The following is a 25,622-nucleotide window of genomic DNA, read 5'->3' on the forward strand; positions in this document are numbered from 1 at the left end:
CAATACGTGGTGAAATGCAGGGGTTTTTATAGATGAGCTAGTGGGGAGGCGGTGTCTGATCTACATAAGGAGGGAAAACCCGGTTTCGTGCATATGGCATGAAAACCCGGTTAGGACCAGGTGTGTCATCTGCATAGGGCTTAAGTGTCTGGCAGCCCCGGCCCCAATCTTCTACTATATAGGCAGGTAGCTACTCCGTGTTGCTTATTTCCTTCTTACTGTGCATGTGGTAAAAAAGAGGGGAGGTGGAACCCCCATGGTGGACATGCCTGGCCCCAGTAGCCCCTTCTGTCTGTGCCGCTGCCGGCATCTCCCGTGCAAGCTTCCAGTTTCCTTACCTATGTTTGCAGCCCAATCTTCCAGGTTGCTCTTTGTTAGAAAGGAAGTGATTTCTTGGGCTGCTTTTTGTTAGAAGGTAAGTTCTGCCGAGGGCTCTTTTGCTCATACTATCTGCCTAAATAATTTCTATCTCCTGTATCAATATCCTATGTGTGACTCTATTCTGCATATATGACTTAGGTTTTAATTATTTTGTTTACGAGTTGGTCCTACCCCCCCACCCCCGCTTCCACCACACTTAAGGAAAGATACATTTTAATTCATTTTTTATATGGTATGCATAGTTGGAGGCCAAAAGATTGAGTTGAAGGATTCATTACTTGATGAATAAATGGATGGGTGGATGGATGAGTCAGTATAAATGAAGAGCATCCCAAGTTGACTATTTTAAAGGGATAACATGCATTTTATATTTGTTAAACATTCATTCTCATTTGTAAACACTTGTATATATTCATGTATTCAAAATGTATTGAAAATTAATTGTTTTCCTTGGTACCTGAAGTCAGTCCTGGGTATTGCAAAGTAGTTCGAAGTCACTGGTTTCCCTCTGTCTCACTTCACTACACACTGGTGATTTTGCTAAGTGATGAGCCAGAAAATGTACAAGTTCCAGAATCAAAGGTAAAACAAAACCCACCAAGAATCAGCTCACTGTTAGCGTCCTAGTTGAAAAATAAGGCTTATCAAAGTATTTCAGATTGCATTAACACTTTTGATATAGCTAGGTATCAGTGTCAACCTCAGGAGAGGGCAACGCCAACTCCTGAAACCTTCAATACAGAAAGTCTAGAAAAATAAGCAAATATACATACAAACAATAGCGAGAAGACTCCAGAAACCACATAAAACCGTGGGAATCGAAATATCCCTTACGTGTGTTCAGTACATGTGAACCCACGTATTTTAAGTGGACGATTTCTCTCTCAGAGTACCGTAGGTAGTGGGGGACGGGGCGCAGAGGGGGAGAAACAGAAAGTCGCCTTCCTCCATGGTTCATTTGCATTTCCATCCAGAAACTCACAGGTCGACCCCAAGACTCCACTCTCTCCCGCCTTTGAGAAGCCGGACCGGCATCGGCGGCTGCATCCTTCTCCTCCTCCCCGCTCTATTTTGGGGCCCCATGATCTCATGCCCTCTGCAGACCACACGCTGCAATTCCAGCCCAGCCCGCGCCGCGAGGCCACGCAGGGCGATTCCTGCAAGTGTCGGGAGGGTGGCCGGGGCGCGGGGAGGGGACGGCTTGGGGGGAAGTTTAAGACACGCCCACGTAAGGGACCCAAAATAACCGACACACAGAGTGCCCGAAATCAGACAGGAAGCCAAATAATCCGGGGCGTTGAGTCGCTTTGCCCTGACTGCGAGAGCCGGGTGTAGGGCGGGGAGCCAAGGATCTGACCGCGAGGGGCGGGCGCGGCGGGGAGGGGCGGGGCGGGGCGGGCGGCGCGGGGCCTATTAAAGGCGCGGCCGGGCAGCGGGGCCGGAGCGGCCGGGGCCACGATGGAGCGCGACGGCTGCGCGGGGGGCGGGAGCCGCGGCGGCGAGGGCGGGCGCGCTCCCCGGGAGGGCCCGGCGGGGAACGGCCGCGATCGGGGCCGCAGCCACGCTGCCGAGGCGCCCGGGGACCCGCAGGCGGCCGCGTCCTTGCTGGCCCCTATGGACGTGGGGGAGGAGCCGCTGGAGAAGGCGGCGCGCGCCCGCACTGCCAAGGACCCCAACACCTATAAAGTACTCTCGCTGGTAGGTCCGCGGCCAGGCCCCGGCGCCCGGGAGGGCTGGGAGTACGGGGAGGGCGGCGCCGAGCTCCTGCGCTCTCAGCGCAGTCAGCACCGGGCACCGGAGAGAGGCATGGTCCGGGAGTGCTTCTTCGCCCGCGCGCTCTCCTCCGCAGCCTTTGCAAGTGCCCTACACAGCCGCCCCTGCCAGGTACCTTGCCAGGGCAGGATGGTTCACTCTCACTTGAATTATGGATGCCTGTGAAAGCAGGCTGTTCAAAACGGTCATCCTTAGAAATACTCGACCCCCTGCCCCAGGAGAGTACGGGTTTTTAGAGGAGAAAAATGTCAAACGCGAAAGTTGTTGGTCTTAAGAAGGTGCATCAATGTGTTGCTTCTTTTAGGGGGCTCTGGGCGCAGTATACATGACTTCACTTGGGTTAACTGATTGCAGTTGAAGAGTTAGCGGAGCTCTTTAAGTTTTATTAGGAACTCTACGGAACACTTTTTCCCTTTCGCTCCGTTTTGGAATTTCCTTGCAGGTGCTCAGAAATTCCATGGATGTTCACATTATGTGACTGAAGAAACCTTTATGATTCTTTGCCCACTCTTCTAACCAGAGGCTACACGGTTTGTGTTGCTAACAAAAGCTACCTATTACTCCTCTGCTATTTTGCTATGACATTTGCAGGACCCACAGTCAACTTCATGAAATGTGGGGGTTGGTTTTTATTCTGAATTCATGGTGGGAAGTGCTGATTGAGAGAAGGCCTGGATTCCTGGCTGTTATTATTTGCTGAGGCCTTGCGTAACTGTCCCTAAACCTCAATTTCTAATGTGTGAAAATGGGACAACATCAACTCCCTTGTGCATTGCATGGGATTATTGTGAAAATCAAGCTGAAGAATGTAGGTAGGGAAGTAAATTGAAAACAGCAAGGAAATAGAATCATTTTTATTGTATTATATGGAAATCACAGATTTCTATGTATAGTGTACCCTAAAATATATCCCCTTACATATGATTGAATAATGCTTTGTAGAAAAATTTCTAATTTTTCAAGTCTCCTTTCATTTTGTATGCATTTCCATTTTCACTATATTTGGGACATCATGGAGATGCTATAATACTTTGAGGAATCAATCTTCCTAGACTTAAGAGATGGTGCCGTATGCTTAGTACTTAAAAAGAAGCCTTAGTTTCACAGAATAAGTACCCCAAGCCACATGATGTTTGCATCTCAAGATAAAATTTTGCATCTTGTAACACTGTTTTGAGTCTATAATAACACAATATTGATGAGAACTTAGTCTCTTGAGTCACCTTTTAAAAATTTTGTTAATGGAAGACCTTAGCTTTTACAACCTGATCACTTAAATTGTTTAGTATTAATACCTTGAGGTGTTTCACACACGATGAGGTAGTCGATAATTGTATATGGAATCAGTGTGTAACTCTTGTGTAAAACCATTTCTACATGCCTATAAACCTTTACAGGTTTTCCAATTGCAAAATTCAGGTTTTAAATTTTTCTTGCTCATTTACTTATACATCCACAACAGATATCAGCAAAGGTCTAGTTTTGGAATAAGCTGTCCAGTCTTTGAGACCTGCAGTCAACTGGTCAAACAGCATTCTGTGTGATGATGCTACTCTGGGCATTTGACATGGAAGTGTCCTAGGACTTACTTCCACAAGTAGGACTATTATGGACCTTTTTTATCCATTAATTGGGGTCTTTTGCATCTATTGAATTGGAAAGAATTCTTACTTCATATCTTTTGATGGAACACTGTGAGACATTAACATACAAATGTTACCAAATAGACCTGGTGCGGTGACTCATACCTATTATCTCAGCACTTTGGGAAGTTGAGGCGGTTCCATTGCTTGAGCCCAGGAGTTTGAGACCAGCCTGGGCAACATGATGAAACCCATCTCTACAAAAGATACAAAAATTAGCTGGGTATGGTAGCATGCGTCTATGTCCCAGCTACTTGGGAGGCTGACATGGGAGGTTCAGCTGAGCCAGGGAAAGTTAAGGCTGCAGTGAACTGTGATTGTGCCACTGCACTTCAGCTTGGGTGACACGGTGAGACCCTTTATTGTTGAAATTGCTATTTAGCTACTGAACTGAAAGTGCAAACTCGTATTCTTCTTTCCCTTCCCTACTTCAATACCTTTTTCCCCCAACCCCGCCCCCCCCCCAAAAACTTCCCCAAATAATGGGCTTCCAAATGGAAAAGGCCCCAAAAGCATCCTGACAATTGTCGTCAAAGAGCTCTGGGATATGTCTTCTAGAAAGGAGCTGCAATTATAGAATTCCTTTTGTTTTCAGATTAAACCTCAGCACACTTTTCATAAAGCTGCAGAAACAGATTGAACTAATTGCAACCTGGGGTTGGGATTAGGAGAGGCCCAGCACTATGATCCTCAGCTACACTGTTTTAATTTAGCAGGATAAATAGAAGAGTTGCGTTGCCTTGCCTTTCAGAGGCAATCATGTTGCAGTGGCAATGTAATTTTTACATTACTCTGCAGTTTTCTCAGATAAACTAAAATGATGTAGATGTGTGAGAGTGGATGAAGGAGTGAGGATTCTGTCCTACCCTGGCTTCTCCCCATTGTGGTGGTTGATCTTAGGAGAGGGCCACCAAGCTGTGCTTTAGAGGCTTTTGGCCCTGGGCCCTGGAATGCTTGTGCCTAGGTACTGAGCCAAACTGAGGAAAACAGCAAGAGGGAAAAACAAGTATTATTCTCTACATGTGTCAGTAGGTATGTTAAATATTAGATGCCTTTCCTTGGTTGTAAATGAAGTTTTGAACTGAAGTGTAGACTTCCACCGAGATGTGTTGACTTGGAGATGTATTTAAATATCCTTCTTGTTTCTTGGTGTGATTTTACAGTCATGTAATTCTCAACTACATTGCAATACATTTCTCCAGTTAGCTCCTCAAAAGCATTTTTTTTGTGTTGTTTGTGACCTTCTGCTATACTTATGAATACATATATCTGTGTATCTGTGTATGTGTAAAGGGCTTGCGTATGGGTGGTGGTCACTGAAGACTACTTTCATGTTTCAGTGAAAGAGTTCTTTAAAAAAACATATATCTATATCTATATCTATATATCTATATCTATATCTATATCTATATCTATATCTATATCTATATCTATATCTATATATATGTAGAGAGTCCGTTTGGCTCAAGTTTGAGGACTGCAACCCAGGAGCATAGATTCAAGTTGCCCTGAGTAGATGCTCCTATTAGCAGCAGTTACAAATGGGTTTTTAAAGGAAAAAGGAAGAGGCAGTTCCTAAGTTGTTTATCAAGCATTCATGTTACAATAACGAGCTATTGGTTGGCTATACATTGTTCTTTGTATCACACATTCCAGGAACATGAAGATAGTGGGTGAGGCAGCTGTCAGGAACAAAATGCTTTTAAAGAATTGCCCCTGGGAATGGGTGCAGTGATGTGACTGAAGTCCCATGCTCATGTCCCTCTGGGCCTGATAAATTTTGCATAGTTCGCATATCTCAGACTGCTCTGAGCAATTTTTCTTTCTCATTTCCTCCTTTTAATAAAAATCTTTCTCTTCTTAAAATACTGATGATCAACGTTTTGGATGTAAGTTTGTCCCACATTGCTGGGAAGGCTCATTTCCGGATAGTCTTGTCCCATGTCAGAGGGAATGAGATGGGCAGAAGTACTATCACTTAAAAACTTAGTGAGGTTCCAAGGCTGAATTGGTAGGCAACAATTCAGGGATTGGATTGAAAAATAAGGGGACAGAGCAGCGGGATTTCAGGTCATTCACTTACACTGGAGTTGAGGTATGTTGGGTCATTTCTAAGCATCTAGCTATTATGATGAGTTTTTTGTTATAGAATTTTGTGGTAGACTTTAGACATCTAGAAATACAAAGCATAATCAATTTAAGAATCAAAAGGATGACACAAATAAGGACAATTATCAACAAAACAACTTGAAATACAAATATGAAAAGTGTTCCTATTCCTGAAGGTAACCAAATGAATATTTTAATCCACTTCTTGTCCTGGTCTAAAGAACAAAGTGTTGAAGATCTCCACTGAGGAAGATGTCCACTTAGGCAGGGTAGCCTGATATTGGCCCTTCTAACGTGGCTAGGAGTCCTTTATTTGATGGTATTTTCTATTAAACAAAATCTTCCAGGTTGGAGACCATGATCTTTGATGTTTTTGTCTCCTAAGAGCTTGCTGTTAAAAGAATCCTTAATTAATTTAGAATTTTCAGTGAGAAACTTATAAGGCCTTGACAATAGTGAAGAGTATCACCTTGTTAATGGAAAAACCAAACTCTGTAAAATATTTTAAAGAGCTTTATCCTGAGCCAAGATGAGTGACTGTGGCTCGGGGAAACACTTTCTCAAGGAGTCCTGAGAATGTGCACCTGAGGCAGTTGGATTACTGTGTGTTTTTATATATTTCAGGGAGGCAGGAGTTACTGGCAAAGACATAAATCAGTACATGAAAGGTATACATTGATTCCATATGAAAAGGTGGGATATCTTAAAGCAAGGGCTTACAGGTTATTTATTCAGCATATTCAGAGATTTTTTTTTTGAGACAGTCTTGCTCTGTTGCCCAGGCTAGAGTGCAATAGCACAATCTCGGCCCACTGCAACCTCCCGCTCCTGGGTTCAAGCGATTCTTCTGTCTCAGCCTCCCAAGTAGCTGGGATTACAGGCACACACCACCACTCCTGGCTAATTTTTTTGTATTTTAGTAGAGACAGGGTTTCACTTTGTTGCCCAGGCTGGTCTTGAACTCCTGAGCTCAGGAATTTCACCCACCTCAGCCTCCCAAAGTGCTATGATTATAGGCGTGAGCCACTTTGCCCGGTGATTCGGAGATTCTTTAATTTGCAATTGATTAAAGGAGTAAGGCTCTGTCTAAAACTTGGAATCAACAGAAAGGGCTGTTGTGGCTGTGTGTGATGGCTCATGCCTGTAATCCCAGCACTTTGGGAGGCTGAGGCAGGTGGGATCATTTGAGGTCAGGAGTTCAAGACCAGAATGACCAACATGGTGAAACCCCTTCAAAAAAAGGGTGAAACCTCTTTTTTTGTAAAAATACAAAAAAAATTAGCAGGGCATGGTAGTACATGCCTGTAGTGCCAACCACTTGGGAGGCTGAGGCAGGAGAATCGCTTGAACCTGGGAGGCGGAGGTTGCAGTGAGCCGAGATTGCACCATTACACTCCAGCCTAGGTGACAGAGCAAGACTCTGTCTCAAAAAAAAAAAAGGGATGTTGTAAGTTAAGCATGATGCTATGTAGCAAAATTGATGGGTGTGCAGACATGACTTAACCCTCCCCTTGCATACCCTTAAGGTCTTGTTTATAACTTGGTGTCTTATTGCCACAGAGACGTTTTCGCGGTCTTATTTCTATTGTAACATTAATGCTGGTCAATTGTTACGCCTCAACTCCAAAAGGGAGGGAGTAGAATTAAGTGCGTTTGACCTCTCTTCCTATTTTGACTGAGAGCTCAGTTTTTGAGGTTTCTCTGGGGTTTCCTTGGCAGAGAGTGGGTCCACTCAGTTGGTCGAGGGCTTTGGATTTTATTTTTAGTTTACAACTTTTCAGGAGAGCTGGTTCGTAGTCTCCTTCATCCAGGTGCATGGATCTTTCCATTCTTATTTCAAAAGGAGAAAGCTGATGTTTTCCAAGCAGGGTAGAATGTAAGTTAAGCAAATGGAAGAGCCTTAGGCCAGGGAAGGTTAAAGCTTTCTGTAAGCTTTGCCAATTAACTTTTCATGATTCCATTTATTTATTCTTCCACTCTGGAAGACTGAGTGTGGTTTGCACAATGGAAATGCCGATCCATCCAATCTCAATGAGCTTCAACCACACAAGATAAGATTTCTGGCGGAGCATAGAGGCTAATGCCTGAAATCCCAGAACTTTGGGAGGCTGATGTGGGAGGATTGCTTGAGCTCAAGAGTTCACGACCTACCTGGGCAACAGAGTGAGACCTCATCTCCACAACATGTGGTAGGACTTCCAAAAATGGAGAATGCAATGAGTTCATGCTGGTACCAAGCACTGATTTTAGAGAAAAACACCAGGTGGTGGTGGGAAGTCACTGTGAATCCTGCTGACCTAAAGAAAAAAAAAACCAAGGCAAAATTAATGTAATTATAGAGCTTTATTTGGGCCAAGTTTGAGGAATACAACCCAGGAGCATAGATTCAAGTTGCCCTGAGTATATGCTGTGAAAGACTTCTTTATAAGAGGCAGAAGCTGGCATTATTTGAGATTTGGGTGTAAAAATTATAATTCAATTAGCTTCCTTTTCCTTCCCTTATGATCCATTATCTTAACTCTAGAATATGGAAGGAAGAATGTTCAAGCTAAGTCTCTGCTCTTAATCAGACTTGGAGTTGACATTGCTCCTTTGGTTTATAAAATTTGTTATCTGTCCAGCCATAGTTGAACATTTTAATTTCAGAATAACCAGAGCATCTTAAGAGGCCAGAGAAGTGTTCTCTGTGTCCCTTATGGTATTTGTTTCACATGTTCTAATAAAATACATAAAGGATTCCTAGGAACCCAAGACTGTTGTTTTTACTATTAGGCAGAGGATAGTACCTGACACTCAATGTCAGCTTTTAATTGCTTGAATGAATGTACTGCATTTTTTGTTAGACTGAGCCACACTTTGATTTGGAAAAGGGGAAGATGGGAAGACTAAATACACAAGCAGGGACCCATAGGGTCTGTGATGGTCAGGAATCCACATAGAGATGACACTTGGGTATAAATTCAGGGGTAAGATTAAAACTGGGATATAATTTTATTTGGGTATAGGGAGATGGAGGAGATAGTGAAGGAACAGAAGTACCCAACTAAGGTGAAGGTGCCTAAGAAGAAGGCAGACGGGGCCTCTGTGATAACGTGGATTCAGAATCAGAAATCTAGTCAGTGAACATTCTCTCAGGTACAGACACTCCAAGTGTGGCAGTCGGCATGTATGAAGGAGAGCCTCCTTCACTTACACCAAGGCCTCTTTGGTTTTGATAACTTTGCTGCCACACCCTGAATTCAGTCTTTGTGATTCTTCGCTCTTCTTCAGCATTGCTTTCTGTCCCTTCTTTTCTTCTGCCTTGAATCTTGTTCTGGTATTTCTTTTTCACCATTTGTAGCTCAGCTGTTTCCACTCCATGTTGTCTCTTTCTCAGGGATACGTAGCTACTGTTTCAAAAGCACTTTGCTAATTTCTATTTCACTTGTTTAGTTAACTTTGGACACTCAGTTTTGTCATCTCCTGCCCCCATCATATCCTAATCATGACTCTGAAGAAAATCCTTGGTGGTCACATTGAGAGACCTTATGTGTTCTGTATAATAAAGAACTGGGGGCCATTAACCTTTCTAGAGCATTTACAGAAATTTTTATCTATCAGCCTTTTTTTTTTTTTTGAAACGGAGTTTCACTTTGTAGTGCAGGCTGAAGTGCAGTGGAGTGAACTTGGCTCACTGCAACCTCTGTCTGCCTCCCGGGTTCAAGTGATTATCCTGCCTTAGCCTCCTGAGTAGCTGGGATTACAGGCGCACACCACCACACCTGGCTAATTTTTTTTTTTTTTTTTTTTTGTATTTTTAGTAGAGACAGGGTTTTGCCATGTTGGCCAGGCTGGTCTCGAACTCCTGACCTCAAGTGATCTGCCCGCCTCGGCCTCCCAAAGTGCTGGGATTACAGGCGTGAGCCACCACGCCCGGCTGTATCAGCTTTTCATCTTCATCCAGCTGACTCTTTTTATCTTAAGTAGCAATGTTAAAGGTAAATGAAAATAGTTTCATATTCAATTTTGCTCTCAAGTTTGATGACTACCATTGTAAAATATTTGTGTGACATTTAAGATACAGCAAATGTATTTCATCTATATTGTGGCCTTTTTGTACAAGCCAGAGAACTTTATCATGATTTATAACTTCTTTTTTTTTCTTACTATGGGGAGAGGCATTTAAGTTCCAGACAACTTAGGAACAAATAAGCATTTGGAATACAACTTGTAATTAGAGATCTGCTTTTGGTTAAAATAAGCATGCCTCCATCAACCATAAAATACCCCCCAAACAAGAAAAAATAAACAAGAAACCTTTTAGCAAATGAGCTCAGGGCCGAACATAGATTACTCTTCTAAGCATAAATCTTGTGCAACAAAACCTGATACTCAGAATTCTGACCCAGCTCGAAAATCCCTTGTCATCGGATAAAAACTAAGTTATGCATTTACCAAGGAAAGACAATGTAGGAACACATTTAAGGTTTTTCAAAAGAGTGACCAGAATGTTCAGTTAAATATTAACGGGAAGACTATTTTCTGAGTATTCTAGTTATCTGAGATTTAGTTGCAAGAATTAAGATATCTGTAGTGTCTTTGAAAAATTATTTTTACCTTTTTTTACTTTTAGTTTTTAGAAGAGGTGTTGGTAGAAGTGTAGGTGGTAGAAGTTTAGATGGTTATAATCATTTTTGTAGCACTTGGCAGCTTTAAAAAGCATTTCCCATATATTTTTGATTGATCCTCAATACTCAACAACTGTGAAATAGGAAAGTATGATGACAGTCAATTCTGCTTTACAGATAAGGAATCTGAGGCTCAGTCAGGGATTCAGTCAGGTTTCCATGCAGACATTATTGTGCATAAAAACCACCTGGGAAGTGTTAAAGACAGAGATTCCTAGGCTCCAATCTCAGTGATTATGATTTAATAGATTTGGAATGGACCCAAAGAATCCTCACTTTTTAACAAGCACCTCAAGTTATTCAGATGTAGGTGGTTGATTTACTCTACTTCTAGCAACAATGGGCTAAATTTATAGGCAAAAGCCACACCATTAGTACATAATAGACTATGATGGTAACTGGAAGGACTTTTATCTACAGATTTTTATCACGGACTAATAGCTAATGCCATCCCATTCATTTGCTAAATGTTATATCCTATTCATCAAGCTTGGCCTGCTGTTGGGTTTCCAACTCTCCTTTGCCTGCTTCAGTATAACAATGTGTAATTAGAACCTAAGAAATTTCTGGTGTGGTGATGCTAAAGCTTGCCTCTATATTGAGATATATATGTGTCTTTGGTAGTTCAGTGATGAGATTTTCCTGGGTGGAAGCCAAAATTAGTGCACTTTATTAGTGTGAAGTCAACAATCAGCTGTTTCTGGGAGCTTCCAAAGTAGGTATACTTTTGGGAAATTGTGCTTTTCTTCTTAGTTTGAGTTTCCTTCTTGGCTTATTTTGAAATGTAGTAGAATAGAAAAATAGAGAGTTTTGATAGAAAGTGATTTTGGGATGTGTGGTGGCTCATGCCTCTAAAGGAGACCGAGGCAGGAGAATCACTTGAGGCCATAATTTAAGATCAGCCTGGGCAATATAATGAAACCCCATGTCTATCTCTCTCTCTCTCTCAATCTCTCTCTGTCTCTCTTTCTTTCTCTCTCTCCATACACACACACACACACACACACACACACACACGTGTGTATGTACATATCTCCATATTTTATATATATGTATAATATGCATAAGAAAATCATTTTGGAGGAAGTAAATTGTCACAGCGAATTGTCACAAGTGTTTCTCATTTATGGATTGACCATTTTCTCACCGTATTTCAGGACTTTGCACAGACTTAGCTGGCAAACATCCTATAACAGGTGTGATTTGAGAGTCTTAAAAAAAAATCACTATCTTGGTTTTCAGGTGAATATTTTTGAGAAACTAGCTTGTTCCTAAAGATGTGTTTCCCGATCCCCCTCCTGCTTAGAAAGCTTTTTTTGACGTTAGCAAGCATCTGGGGGATCTTGATGCTCTCTTATGGTTAGAGAGAGAGAATTGAAAAGAAACTCAGTAGATTAAGACATTATTTGCCCTTTCACTGTGTTGACTTTTACACCGTGGTATTAAAGGAGTGATGGCACCTTAGCAGACGTCATTGCAATGACACCAATTGTACAAGTAGTCATGCACTTGCAATAAAAAAAAAGCCATTTCACTAAAAAGAACACCTTAGATGTTTTATTGCTTAGATGAAGCAATAAAAATGTCCTTGATGAGGCTGGTCGCGGTGGCTCACATTTGTAATCCTTGCACTTTGGGAGGCCGAGGCGGGTGGATCACGAGGTCAGGAGATCGAGACCATCCTGGCTAACACGGTGAAATGCCGTCTCTACTAAAAATACAGAAAAAATTAGCCGGGCATGGTGGTGGGCGCCTGTAGTCCCAGCTCCTTGGGAGGCTGAGGCAGGAGAATGGCATGGACCCAGGAGGCGGAGGTTGCAGTGAGCCGAGATCGTGCCACTGCACTCCAGCCTGGGTGACACAGCGAGACTCTGTCTCAAAAAAAAAAAAAATGTCCTTGATGAAGCAGATTTAATAATCTGAAACCTAGATTACCTGTCTTTTTGATATTCTATGTGACACAATTGGAAGTATGCATGTAGCATATCTGCTGCATACTGAAGTACTGTTTTCTAGAGGAAAAGCAGCTGTGCGGTTGTTTAAGTTGCAAGCTGAACTAATTTTTTTTCAAAGAACACCATTTTTATTTGAAAGAACTGACAAGCTTTTTATTTAGACTTATTTATTTGACATATTTTCTCAAAAATGAGTGATGTTAGCTTGTCCCTTCAAGGAAAACCTATGAAGCTATCAGCTGTCTATGATAAAATCTGAGCTTCCAAGCAAAAATTAGAATTTTGAAAAACTTGTATTTGCCATTTGAGTGTAACAGCTTCCTGATCCTTACACAAAATTGATGAAGATAGCGAGGAATGTGGTTTTTTTTCATGTTGTTTAATGACATGCGTTAACATTTGGAAGAATGATAGAACTTAGTGAACCAATATTTTCCAAAGGATGAGTGGATGATGTTACAAAATTATGCATTGGTATAATTTCCATTCAAAGTGCAAGATAGACTAATGGATTTTAATGTAACAGTATGTAAAGTTCAGTAATACCTTTTCCATTTTTATGCCATAATTTACTTCTTTCAAAAGACAAATATAAGATAAAAATTAATTCAAGAGCACAGATATATGCATTCTATCGAAATGAATACAATGTGATTTATAAATGAGAACAAATTACCAATGAACAGTATTTCAGAAGTTGAAAAGGTGACACTAAATGTTAAATACACAGCCTTTTAGTTATATTCTTCAGATTCAGTTTTTTTGTGAATTTAATATAAAGATGAGTTCATTTTGCAACCTAAAAATACTTACTTATTGAAACTATATTAATACTTTAATAAACTATACAAAAAAGATAATGAGACAAACGTGCATTTGTGGAACTGCATGTCAGTCAGCCAGTTCCCTGCAGAGGGAATTCCCAGCATTACCTCATTCATCTGTGAGAACACAGAGCAGTCCCTATTTAGACACACACATTTGTCTACTGCTCCAGCATGGCCAGCCCCCCACTTCTTGATGGTTTCTTTCTGCTATGAATATGCATGTCCAGTTGTCTGCTTCATAGAGCAGACATTTACCTTCCTCATCCACCAGCCATTGGAGGAGGACTGGGGCCACGCAAATGATTGATTCGACCAATTCTCTGGGGAGAGTTTCCCAGTGGCCCTCTTCCATCATCATATCTGGAATCAGATGAGTTTCCATAGCTTCTTTTTTTTTTTTTTCGCATCTTGCTGAAGCAGAGTTTTGAAAAGCAAAACCACAAACTCAGCTGTTCCCCATAAGAAATCTGTTATCAAAGATAATCTCCATGGAGACTGACTCCAGCTGTCCAGCACTTGTCCATTTGCGATGTAAACCATCTTGCCCCCCTTCCCTGCTTCGGAGCGACTGGTCATAGTTTAAGAGATTACTACTTTTAGAATTTTGGTGTGGTTTTAAAGAAGAATGTCCATAATCATCTGAAAAGGCATCTTAGGGTTGTTAGTAACTTTTAGAAGTATAATGGGATCCTGATAAGAAAAATTTCGTGAATATATTTACAAATATTTAGGAAATAGGTGTACATCCAGTAATATTTTCAGTAATATTTTTCAGAACTAGGGGATGTGAGGGCGATCTGGCTGTGACTTCTATCACCCCATTGATCGCCAGGGCTGATTTGGCTATCTGGCTGGCTAGGCGGGTGTCCCCTTCCTCCCTCACTACTCCACGTGTGTCCCTCCCGAAGATGTGCGCTCGGTTGAAGAAGATGACCATCTCCCATAGATGAGAACCAGTCTTTGGTCAAGGGTATATGAATAGGTGCACTCCCCTGCTAGAACCTCCAAACAAACTCTCAAGAACTAGGGAGAGGAGAGTGAAAATTAACCTAGTTACAATGATTGTATCCTTACATTCTTTTATAAATTTCAAAATACTTCTACATCTCCTACCTCATTAGTCCAAACCACAGCTCTGCTGTTATCCATCCCCATGTTAGAGATGAAAAAATCATGGCTCAGAGAAAGTTTGGAGACTTTCCAAGATCACAAAATCAATAATTCTGTTAATCTCATCTCTGTAGTTTATTGGTGAATAGTTTTGGAGTCAGACAAAATCAGGTTTAAATCCTGCTACGGTTACTAGCTGTTTGAATACAGACAAAAAAGTTTCCTAAATAGTACCACAACTGTAGCATAGAGACAAAATCATATTAGAGTGTGTTAGGAGAAGTAAATTATATAATGTGTACAAAATGGTGCATAATATGCCCTGAATAAGTGGTTTTTTCTTGTTATTGTTGATAAGCTTCAATGTGACTGAGAATTTTTTATTTTACCTTACTCAGAAGGCACTTTACATCCTTAACTACCCAAAGTGTGGTCTGCAGACTGACATATCAGCATTATCCTCTTAGAATTTGTAAGAAATGCAGAATCTTGGGCCCCACCCCAGACCTACTAAACCAAGATCTGCATTTTCATAGATCCTCAGAGGTTTGTCTGAACAATTAAGTTTGAATATCAGCACTCCATAAGGCTATGAGACAGCACAGAAGGCACCACATCTGGAATTTCTGTAGCTGAGAATTCTAATTAACCCTCGCTGTGCCACTGACTTCATACATGATGTTGTGATTAGAAACCTAAAACAAAATGAAAAAACTCAATGGGCCTCCATGACCTCAACTGTGGTTGCATTAGGTTGAATTGGTGCTACCGCTGGTTGCATTTGGCCCCTTTCCTTCCATGAACCTCAGTGGCACATGGATACAAGTAGCCCCATTGCTCTTGCACATACAGAACATGGCACAGTCTCCTCCCTTTGCATATACCATCTCTGTCTTTCAGGAACCTGCCTGTGCTCTCGTGTGTTGCTTATAATTTAATTGCCTTCTTTTACTCTGCACTGGCTTGTCCTTTAATTGCTCTTTATTGCCCTTAGCGTTGCCAATCTTCTGTCTTTGCTGTTACCTGATAACATTCAGATGTTTTTCCAATTCAGCCATCCATCTATCAAAATATCATGTAGATGGTGCTTTCCATCGCACGATCAATGGAACTATCCAATTCCAAGTTTCCACTGCAGTCCCCTCTCAACAATCAACAGTATACTTGACACAAAACCAAAACAAAGGAATCTTATACCAACGCTTTTTCAGGTGATGTAAAATCAGGTTAAATGTCCTTGGCCCAGAGTTTATTCCATAATACTTCATCATCCAAACACACTAGCTTCCTATAAACTGCCACCCAGCACCATTTCGATTATAATCTCTGGGATACTAGGAAACAGGTGAATGAAATATTCATGTGGGAACAGTGTGGTTTAGGAGCATTATGAGTAGACTCTGTTGGTCTTATCTACTTTTGGATTAGTCGGGGAAATAAGCAGGAAACAACTCTACTTGGACACGATTTATTTGAATACCTTACTAATCAGCACAAAGGAGGTAAATGTGAAGAATATTGACATATATAAGTATTTATACATTTGTTATCTCTTAGAAACTTTCAAAGAAAAAGAATATTGAGTATTATGGAATGATTCAAGCAAAGGTCTTCAGAGACAGGGTTCATGTAAAGGGTCTAAACGGGAATCACATGAATCATTTGCTATGTGACCTTTGAACAATTACTTTCTTTCTTTGACTTTCAGTTTCCTTAACCGTAATATGAGGAGTTGGATTAGATGGGTTCCTTCTAGTTCCAAAATATTTGTTTTGAGAGCTTACAATATTTTCCCCATTGCTATAAAAATACTATCTATTGCAAAAAATTCAGAAAATATAAAAAAGTATAAAGAAGAAAATGAAAATTGCTTTTGGGTTTTTTCCCCTCCAGGACTTTTCTATGTGTACATATCACTTTTAAAAAAAAAAAAACAAAGATGAGATCACTTTGTGCATATTATTCTGTTGCCTTTTTTCATTTATATTCCATTATGAAAGTTTACCATTGATAGACAGCTTTCTAATGTACTTTTCATAAGTAGGATTTTGAGACTTTTATTTTAGTATCCTCAATTCAGTAGGTAATCTTTGAAACTATTTCTATGCATACTTTAGACATTCTCAGTCCCCAAGAATTTCTAGCTTTTTGGTACATGTTTGTTTTCTGTTTTATTCATTCCTCAGCTCCATCTCTATTGCTTATGTCTCTTTTTCATGGTTAAATTACTAGTTTTTCTAAAATAATAGCTTCTCTGCATTATGTTTCTGCTCAGAATTTTTCTGGGACTGCCACAGCACACAATGAGAAAATATATACTCCTAAGCCGAGACTAGTTTTTATTTCCCACACGCGGGATAACAGTAGACGTTAATCAATGTAGGGCTCACCATGAATAGTTTCATCCATTCGTAGCAGTGCTGAGTCTGTGACATATGTGTTCAGTCATTTATGAGTTAATATTTGTCAACCACTTAGAGTAGACCCTTGCTGGTAGTAAGTGCTATGTGTGTTTGTTAAATACATACATATCTATTTGTGTTTACTATTTGTCCGGCCCTATGCTAAAGACTTATCTCCTTTAATGGGTACAGTTCTGTGAGGTAGGAGGGAGCAAATCTGTTGGCTTGGGAGTGTCTGGCCTAGCTCCCATACCTCAGTGGGACTCAGTATCCTATATGATGTATAGTACATGCAATATTATGTGCATACTTTGTATTAAGGAGATTGTAGGGCTCAGATATGTTTCAGTCAACTGCTGCTGTGATGGCACTTTGCCCATTTAGAGAGTCAAAAAAGGACTGAAGATGCATATCTCTCTTCAGCATTCCACACCTCTGAAGCACGCCTTCTATGACATTCAGCTCAGCCTTGTACAGTTCTCCAAATACACTTTGTACAGATTATATCTGTTTTCTACCCCACCGTGATTTTTTAACCTCTCCTTTTCTCACCCAACATCAGGCACCCACCAAGACCCAACTCAATGTGTCCTCTCAAATGAAACATTCTTTAGATGCTCTTTGGCCCCATCTCCCTGTCCCAGAACCACTCAATTGCTACTGGATCCTGTTGAGGCCATAGAGCTTAGTGAGTAAGGCCAGACCCTGGAGCCAGAGTGCTGGAGTGTAAATCGCATCTCTGCCAATAATTGCTTTTGGGTCTTTGGGCAGGTCCCTTAACTTCTCTGTGTCATAGCTTCCTTGCCTATTAAATGGGGATAATAGTAGTAGTACCTCACAGGTTTGTTTTGAGGGTTAGGTGGATTCATATTTATAAACTAATGAGAAGAGTGCCTGATACTAGATGGTAGATCGGGGTTCAATATTGTTATTGCTATGGTTTGTAACTTATTTAACAAATATGTAGAGTTTTTACTGTGTGGGCAGTCTGGTGCAAGAGGCTGGGGGCTAAATGGTCAAAGGGAAAGTTTACTTACTGTCTGTTTTTTAGGTTTTATCTGAAGGGACCAGATATTTATCGAAGAATTATACAAGATTATCTCAAGTTGCAGCTGAAATAAGTGCAGCCCAGAAGCTGTGTACATAGCGAGGGGGAATTAGCCTTGTCCAGGAGGTCTGAGAAGGCATTTCTTAGGAAGTGACAGGCGAGCAGAAGAGGATTATGAGAAAAGGCAGCAGCAGGGGAAAGGCCCTGGGAGAGGAGACAACACGGCCCATCCCAGAGCTTGGAGGAGGCCAGGATGGCTGGTGTGCAGCGCTGAGTGGAGTGTAATGGGGATGAGGTGGGAAATGTTGCCAGAGCCATCTCCAGGCAGGATTTGTTGTTGTTGTTGTTGTTGTTGTTGTTTGAGACGGAGTCTCTCTCTGTCATCCAGGCTGTAGTGCAGTGGCGCCATCTCGGCTCACTGCAACCTCTGCCTCCCAGGTTCAAGCGATTCTCCTGCCTCAGCCTCCCGAGTAGCTGGGATTATAGGTGCTCGTCACCATGCCCAGCTAACTTTTTGTATTTTTAGTAGAGACGGGGTTTCACTGTGTTGGCCAGGCTGGTCTCAAACTCCAGACCTCATGATTCACCCACCTCGGCCTCCCAAAGTGCTGGGATTACAAGTATGAGCCACCGTGCCCAGCCGGTTTTTGTTTTAAGAGCAATTGGAGGCCGGGTGCAGTGGCTCACGCCTGTAATCCCAGCACTTTGGGAGGCTGAGGCCGGCAGATCACTTGAGCCAAGAGTTCAAGACCAGCCTGGGCAACATGGTGAAACCCCATGTCTACCAAAAATACAAAAATTAGCCTGTTGTCGTGGCACACACCTGTAATCCCAGCTACTCGGGAGGCTGAGGCACCAGAATTGCTTGAACCCGGGAGGTGGAGGTTGCAGTGAGCTGAGATGGCGCCACTGCACTCCAGCCTGGGTGACAGAGCGAGACTGTGTCTCAAAAAAAAAACAAACAAACAAAAGCAATTGAAAGCAATTGGAAATCACTGAAATATTTTTCTGTTTGGTTTCTTTTTTATTTTTGTTCTTAGTGACAAGTTCTGATTTACTTTTGGAAAAATCATTTTATAATAGCTTTAGTGGCACAAACAAATCAACGGGACCCTGAAAACTATAATAGCTTTAGTGACACTAACAAATCAAAGGGAGCCTGAAAATAGAAGAGCACACTGTCTTTTTGTTGTTGTTGTTGTTAATTGACCACTTCGTAACTTTTTTTATTCCTGCTAGATTTTGAGTCCGTAGATGTGTTCACTCCAGGATGATAACCACTAGCTACATGTGGCTATTTAAATTAAAATTTCATCTAATTAAACTTTAATGAAGCAAAAAGTTTATTTCCTCAATCACTCTTGCCACATCCGTAGTGCTATGCAATGGCGCACGGCTAGTCACTTTCATATTGACAGTACAGATCTGTGGAACATTTTTAGCATCTTAAAAACTTCACTTGGATAGCATGTAAAAATTGTGATATTATAGTTTTTAAAAAATACCTTGATAGTTCTCCAATTAACAATGATGAAAATGTACATAGTACTTGTTCAAGAAACATTTACTAGAAGACAAATTAAAAGAGTTAAGATATCAACGTTCTTATAAATATTATTTTAAGATTCCTTATCCAAATGATTATTGAATATGATTAAGTTGATTTAAGCCTAAATATATACATGAAGAGGTGACACATTTCTAAAATTGTGTTCCCTTTCTAATTATAAGCTCATATATTAATTACTAATTTTTTTCATAATAGTCACCCATTTTTCATCTTTATTAACTTAGAAAATTTTACTTCTTATTTAAAGCCCTGGAGCATACTTTCAAAAATGATTTTGAAACATGAGTCTCTTCATTAGGTCAACATTTGTCTAAGCACGTCTGTAAATATTCTGTTACAGGAAGAGGAAGAGTATTGAGCAAATTCTCTTCAACAATCAGACAGCTCTGCTTTAGGGACTGATATCCTTCCAGTTCAGGAGGAAGTGTTTCCAGGTAATTTCCAATGAACTCCAGATGAGTAAGGTTTGACAGCTGACCCACATGAGGGGACAAATTCATCAAGCTACTTTTCCCCAAAGGTAAACATTGCAGCTTTTTGCACTGAAACAGCCCATCTGGTAGCATCTCACTGTTGTTGTTGGTTACAGCACAGTACTGCAAATTACTCAGATACTGGATTTCTTCTGGAATGAAGGTCAAGTGGTTATAGCTTAGATTCAAATAATGTAGTTTGCTGCATAGGAAAAGCTGCTAGGGCAGATTCTCAATATTAATAGGACCCCAAAAGAGCTGCTCTAGGTTAGATAATGCCCCAGTTTATCCAGGAATGTAAGTAATGTTATTGTGCCATAAGTTTAAGCAGGAAAGATTCTGAAGATGCTGACAGCCAATGATCTCTTCCACAGTTTTAAGGTTATTTTCCTTTAGGTCTAACTCATGCAAATTATTCAGGCTGAAAATGGAGTATGGAATGCATTCCAGGTCACAGCTGATCAGTTCTAGGCTTTTCTTATTGACCATCATTTTCAAGTTGTTCAGCACAGCCAGTTTGCTTCCCTCATTATCAAGGGACAATTCTTCAGTGAAGGCAAGAGGTCTGCAATGACTTGTGGGATCTGGGAGAGGCTACTCTGCAAGTAGAGGGTCCTTGGATATTTTAAGTCCTGAAAGCCGTCTAACTGCACAGTACTGAACTGTTGAGGGAGAACACAGCCTCCCTGTGTGGGGCAGAAAAGTTTCTCACATAGGGGAAAGATAAGGTTCCTTCAGATTCTTCAGGTGAAATACCCAGCATGGGATTTTTCCCATTTCAGGATGCTTCAGGCAGAGGATTTTAAAATTCTGCTCCAAAAAGCCAGTGCAGGATGGTCTACTACCAGAGATGAATGGTCCACATCTTTGAGGTTGACCAGCTGTGAGACGGCAGACGGCAGCTTCACCTCCAGGGTCTGCTCCAGGCTTAGCACCTCCATTTCGGTGAACTCAAAGACATTTGTCTGGAAGACTGTTGAGCATAAAAAGATGCAGTTCTATCTTGTCTTGGACATTTTCCACAAGCTAATGTTTTTCAGTTTCTCAACTGTCCATTCATTACTGAGGTTGATCTGTTTCAGTTTGTTCTCACTGACCTCTGATAGGAATATGGAGAAGCGTCTGGAATAAAAAGGATCATACTGATTAGCCAGATGAAGGATGAAGGCAAAGTCATTCTTGACATCAGGGATGTCACTATAGTTGCTTTTTTCTCTTAACACCTCAAAGGAATATTGCTTCATGGATCTCCTCAGCATCCACCACAGCCTGTAGGAGGAGGTCAGACTGTAGAGTACATCCAAAATGGTATAAAATGAAGCCAGAAACTTCAAGATTTCTGCGAAGGAATAGACACACTGGTAGGCTTATATCCTGTAAAAGCCTACATGTCAACTGAACAGTCAATTTAAAGAGTGATGTAGGTTAAAAAATATGGAACATAAGTTATGATGAGCACAAAATGACTTTGACTATTATCTGCTTCAGATACACACTATAAATGATGTCCTTCTGCTCTACGTGCATGCGGAATCTTCTCACTTTTTCAAAGATGGCTGTGGCCTCTTGCCCCTCCTTCTTGTCCAGGCCACTGGAAGTTGGGCTTTCTATACCAGCTGACTCCAAAGCCCGCTGCAGGTGGGGCAATGACTGCTTTCTGGAATCTATGTCAGTTGAACACCCTGAGGACGAAAGCAAAATCTTGGACTCGGAGAGTTTCAGAGGCCTCACTGACTGCTCGGCCACTGTTTCTGACAGGGTGCAGGTGGTCCGTGGAGAATCGAAGCACTTATAAAGGATGGCCACAAAATGCTCAAGCTTGGAGCTGGTACCTGGGGTAGTGAAGCCATAAGTTGCTGCAGGCTGCAAAGAACAGTGTGTGCAAGAGCACCAGGTAGGGGAAGAACGTTGCAAACCAATGGAGCTGTTTCTCGTAACAGACAGCGTTGATGTAGGAGTCCTGCTGTCAGTGGAGGTCGTTCTGGATTCCGAGTGGGATCGGAAACTGATGTCCCGGGATTAGAGGATGTGTTTATGCTGGCTTTCAGGATGTTCCAAGGCATGGTGCAATGATTGTCAAATTCCACTTTGTAAGAAGACAGCACAGAACCCTGCTCTGTGTCAGCTGGAGAGCTCCAGCCAGCATGTCCACATGATCAGCATGATGTAATACCAGAAGACATCCTACCATGATTTTAAGATGTGATAAGATGACTGGGTGTCTGCTAGTAAACATTTTAGCTCGGTTAGTGTAATCATGACTTTCCCTTGTAGGAGGACAGAAATATAATGAAAAAATATTAAATAAATCAGAAATGCTTCAATCAGGTGATCTATACCTTTTGAAGTTTCTTAGACATACCATCTCTGTGTTTGTCTTCATTCCTATGAATGCTGGCCAACTGGAACCCTGCAATTAGTCTCAAATTGAAAAATTTCCTGTCTTTGGCCACAGGGTCAATGATGGATGAGGCTAATGAGTGTGGTATTGAAAACACGGGGGTTTCAGTACCTGTGGGCCATCCAGGTAGAGAGGTCCAGCAGGCAGCTGGAAAACAAACCGGAGCCCTGTGTGACTCCAGTCCCGGGCCCCAGGCCCACACATTCCCCTCCATTACCAATTTTAAAATTCTGTCTTTAAGTTGTCACTGTGATTGTGATTGAATAAAATACTAGGCCTTTACAGAAATTAAGTGGTGGTTTATATCTCCCATTTCCTGTCCACAGGAAGAATTACTAGAAATCCTCTGTTTAGTTGTCTTTTTGTTTGTTTCTACTGAGCCCATCTTTCAAGGATAAACACAAGGTGCCCGAATGAGTATGTTCCAAAAATTATTTCAGAAAAAAACAGCAAATAAATTACAGAAACTTAACTGCACATTATGTTCTTTCCACCCTTTGTTTTTCATCTCTGACCCACTATCTGCATAGGCAAGATTCTTGCCTAGGCAGGAAAAACTATGTTTTTTGGATAAGATTCATGAGGCTTTTCCTTGCAGTCCATCTGTTGGGTCCTCTGCCTGAGGGCAGAAAGAGCTGTTCTGCACCATTAATAAAACTGCTTTCCTCCCTTTCCTATCTTATGAGCTGAACTAAACTTTACAATTCTTTTCTAAAGTAATTTAATACTACTTTTATTTAACGACATATCTTTCTTGATAGTTGCTGCAAAAGAGACCAACTATTTTCAGGATTGGGGGACAATTTTTCTTTTCTTTTTTTAAACCAACTGAAGAAAGATCTAATTAAAATATGTTTTTGCATCAAAGGGATTTGAGAATTAGAAAACAAGATAACCCTCAAAATGGAGAGTTCTTTGCCTATATTAAATTTAGTTTAGATTGTGCCTTGGGATGTCTGTCTGTCTATCTATCCATCCATCCATGTATTTATCTGTCTTGGTCTGATTATTTACTGTTTGAGTCCAATTAGAAAAACAAAGCTCATACTCAGTAACTTAATCAAAATAATTTAATATAGGAAACAAATACCAAAAGTGTTAGAAGAGCTAACGGTCAAACAGGGAATGGTAGGACCCTTAGGCAACCCTGAGAAGAGTAACAGAAGGAAGCCGCTACCACCTGGAGAGCAGGAAGGGCAAAAGAAAAAGGTGATGAAACCAGAGCTTGGGAGCTAGGGCTTCGCTGTAGCAGCTGGGACCCTGGGCAGATGCAGCCACTGCAGGGGTCCCACCCGGAGCAGGGAGGACAAGGTAGATACATTCTGATTTCTCCTTTCCTCCCACCCTCCAATGTTCTCTTTCCTGTTGGCCTCTCCTGGTCTGATGCTTGGAGTCTGGGAGTCTGGGAAGTGTAGTAGTCAAAGTTACTTCTCTGAGTTGGCGGATCAAAAGAAAAGGCAGTAACACAACTTGGGTTTCTTGGGAAACAGACTATTAGATGGAAATGAGCATGCCTGGGATTTCATTAGAGTATGTTCTTGAGATCAGCACCTGTGGAAGGCAAGACAAGGAATTGGGGTCATACAGAGGATGACTGTGAGCTGCAGTGCTCATTGGGTGTGATGCTCTTTGGAGGCTGTGCACCTGTGGAAGGCAACGCAAGAAAGTAGGGCTGTGCAGAGGGTGAAGGTGAGCTGCAATGCTCAGTGGATGTGATGCTCATTGGAGGCTATGCCCACTCTACGGACCTTCTTAAACTAGTGGGAGACCCTCTAGAGTGGTCCAGGAGGGGGCAAGCTGCCCCAGGAAGGAGGAGAGACTTTGGGCAAAGCGGCTGTCTTTAGCTGAGACACTCCCTATAGGTGACCACTCCCAGCAGCTGGAGGAGCAGTGGTGCCTTTATCTCTGAAGGGGAGTCCAGGCACCTGACCACAGTGCCCATCACAGGCAGGGAAAGGATGTGAAAGCACTGTCTGCACATTGTTGATTTAAAAAAATCATACATTGATGAAATGTAAAAAGTGAAAGTTCAGTTTGCCTTTTTAACTTAATTCTGTTTATGATTTACATATTTCCATGTCCCAGCCTGTTGATCTACCTAAATTAAAATATGTATATTTTAAAAGATTTATTGATAAGATAAGAAAATGTTTACAAAATAGTATTACATGCAAAAAGATGAAACAAAAATTGTATATAGAATCATTTCTCAGTTATATATGTATATGGGTTTGAGTGTGTAAATGCATTTAAAACAATAATAAAAAAAATAGGGCCAGGCTGGGTGGCTCACGCCTGTAATCCCAGCATTCTGGAAGGCCGAGGTGGGTGGATTGCTTGAGCTCAGGAGTTCAAGACCAGCCGTGGCAACATGATGAAACCACTGTCTCTACCAAAAATACGGAAAATTAGCTGGGCATAGTGGCATGTACCTGTAGTCCCAGCTACTCGAGAGGCTGAGATGGGAGGATCACTTGAGCCTGGGAGGTGGAGGTTGCAGTGAGCCAAGATCATGCCACTGCACTCCAGCCTGGGCAACAGTGTGACAGCCCATCTCTCAAAAAAAAAAAAAAAAAAAAAAAGAAAAGAAAATAGATCAAAAAATTTTAAAAATGAAATGGAATTTTTTTGGTAGAATAATATGGATTCATGCCTGTTTCTGTTTTCTCTTTTTTCTTTTTCCTTTCAATAAACATACTGTTTGAGAATAGTTCTAGATTTACAGAAAAGCTGTGAAGCTTGTGCAGAGTTCCATATACTCCATGCCCAATTCCTCTGTCATTAACATCTTACATTAGTAAGGTCCATTTGTTACAGCTCATGAATCAACAGTGATACATGATTATTAACTAAAGTCCATACTTTATTCAGAATTACTTGTTTTTTCCCTAATGTCTTTTTTTGTTTTTTTGTTCCAGTACCCCATCCAGGAATACCACATTACACTGAGTTGTCAGGCCTCCTTAGGCTTTTCTTGGCGAAGCGTCTCAGACTTTCCTTGTTTTTGATGACCTTGACAGTTTTAAAGAGTATGAGTCATGTATTTTGTGGAATGTCCTTCAACTGGGATTTGTCTAATGTTTTTCTCATGATTATACTTGACTGACGTATTTTTGGGAAGCACATGACAGATGGTAAAGTGCCATTCTTAACTCATCATTTCAAGAGTATCTGCTATTAATGCTATTAATAGGTCTTGTCATTGATGATGTTAACCTTGACTACCCGGCTGAGGTAGTCTTTTTCAGGTTTCTTTGCTGTAA

The 25,622-nt window shown here is 41.3% G+C and overlaps 1 protein-coding gene and 3 pseudogenes across 1 annotated transcript in view; 2 read left to right on the plus strand and 2 right to left on the minus strand.

Moving 5' to 3' along the window:
• The window catches only part of ENPP1 (ectonucleotide pyrophosphatase/phosphodiesterase 1), an 87,136-nt gene continuing 63,337 nt past the window's right edge, over nt 1,824-25,622 (plus strand). The window contains exon 1 of the mRNA NM_006208.3: nt 1,824-2,079. Within this exon, the coding sequence (NP_006199.2) occupies nt 1,840-2,079 (240 nt within the window). The 5' untranslated portion in view covers nt 1,824-1,839. The remainder of the gene's footprint in view (nt 2,080-25,622) is intronic.
• Nucleotides 13,112-13,927, minus strand: SELENOKP2 (selenoprotein K pseudogene 2; annotated as a pseudogene).
• RN7SKP245 (RN7SK pseudogene 245) lies at nt 14,138-14,376 on the plus strand (annotated as a pseudogene).
• Nucleotides 19,668-22,395, minus strand: LOC100421775 (leucine rich repeat containing 8 VRAC subunit B pseudogene; annotated as a pseudogene).

This window comes from Homo sapiens, chromosome 6 (assembly GCF_000001405.40).
Source record: "Homo sapiens chromosome 6, GRCh38.p14 Primary Assembly".
NCBI classification, from domain to species: domain Eukaryota; kingdom Metazoa; phylum Chordata; class Mammalia; order Primates; family Hominidae; genus Homo; species Homo sapiens.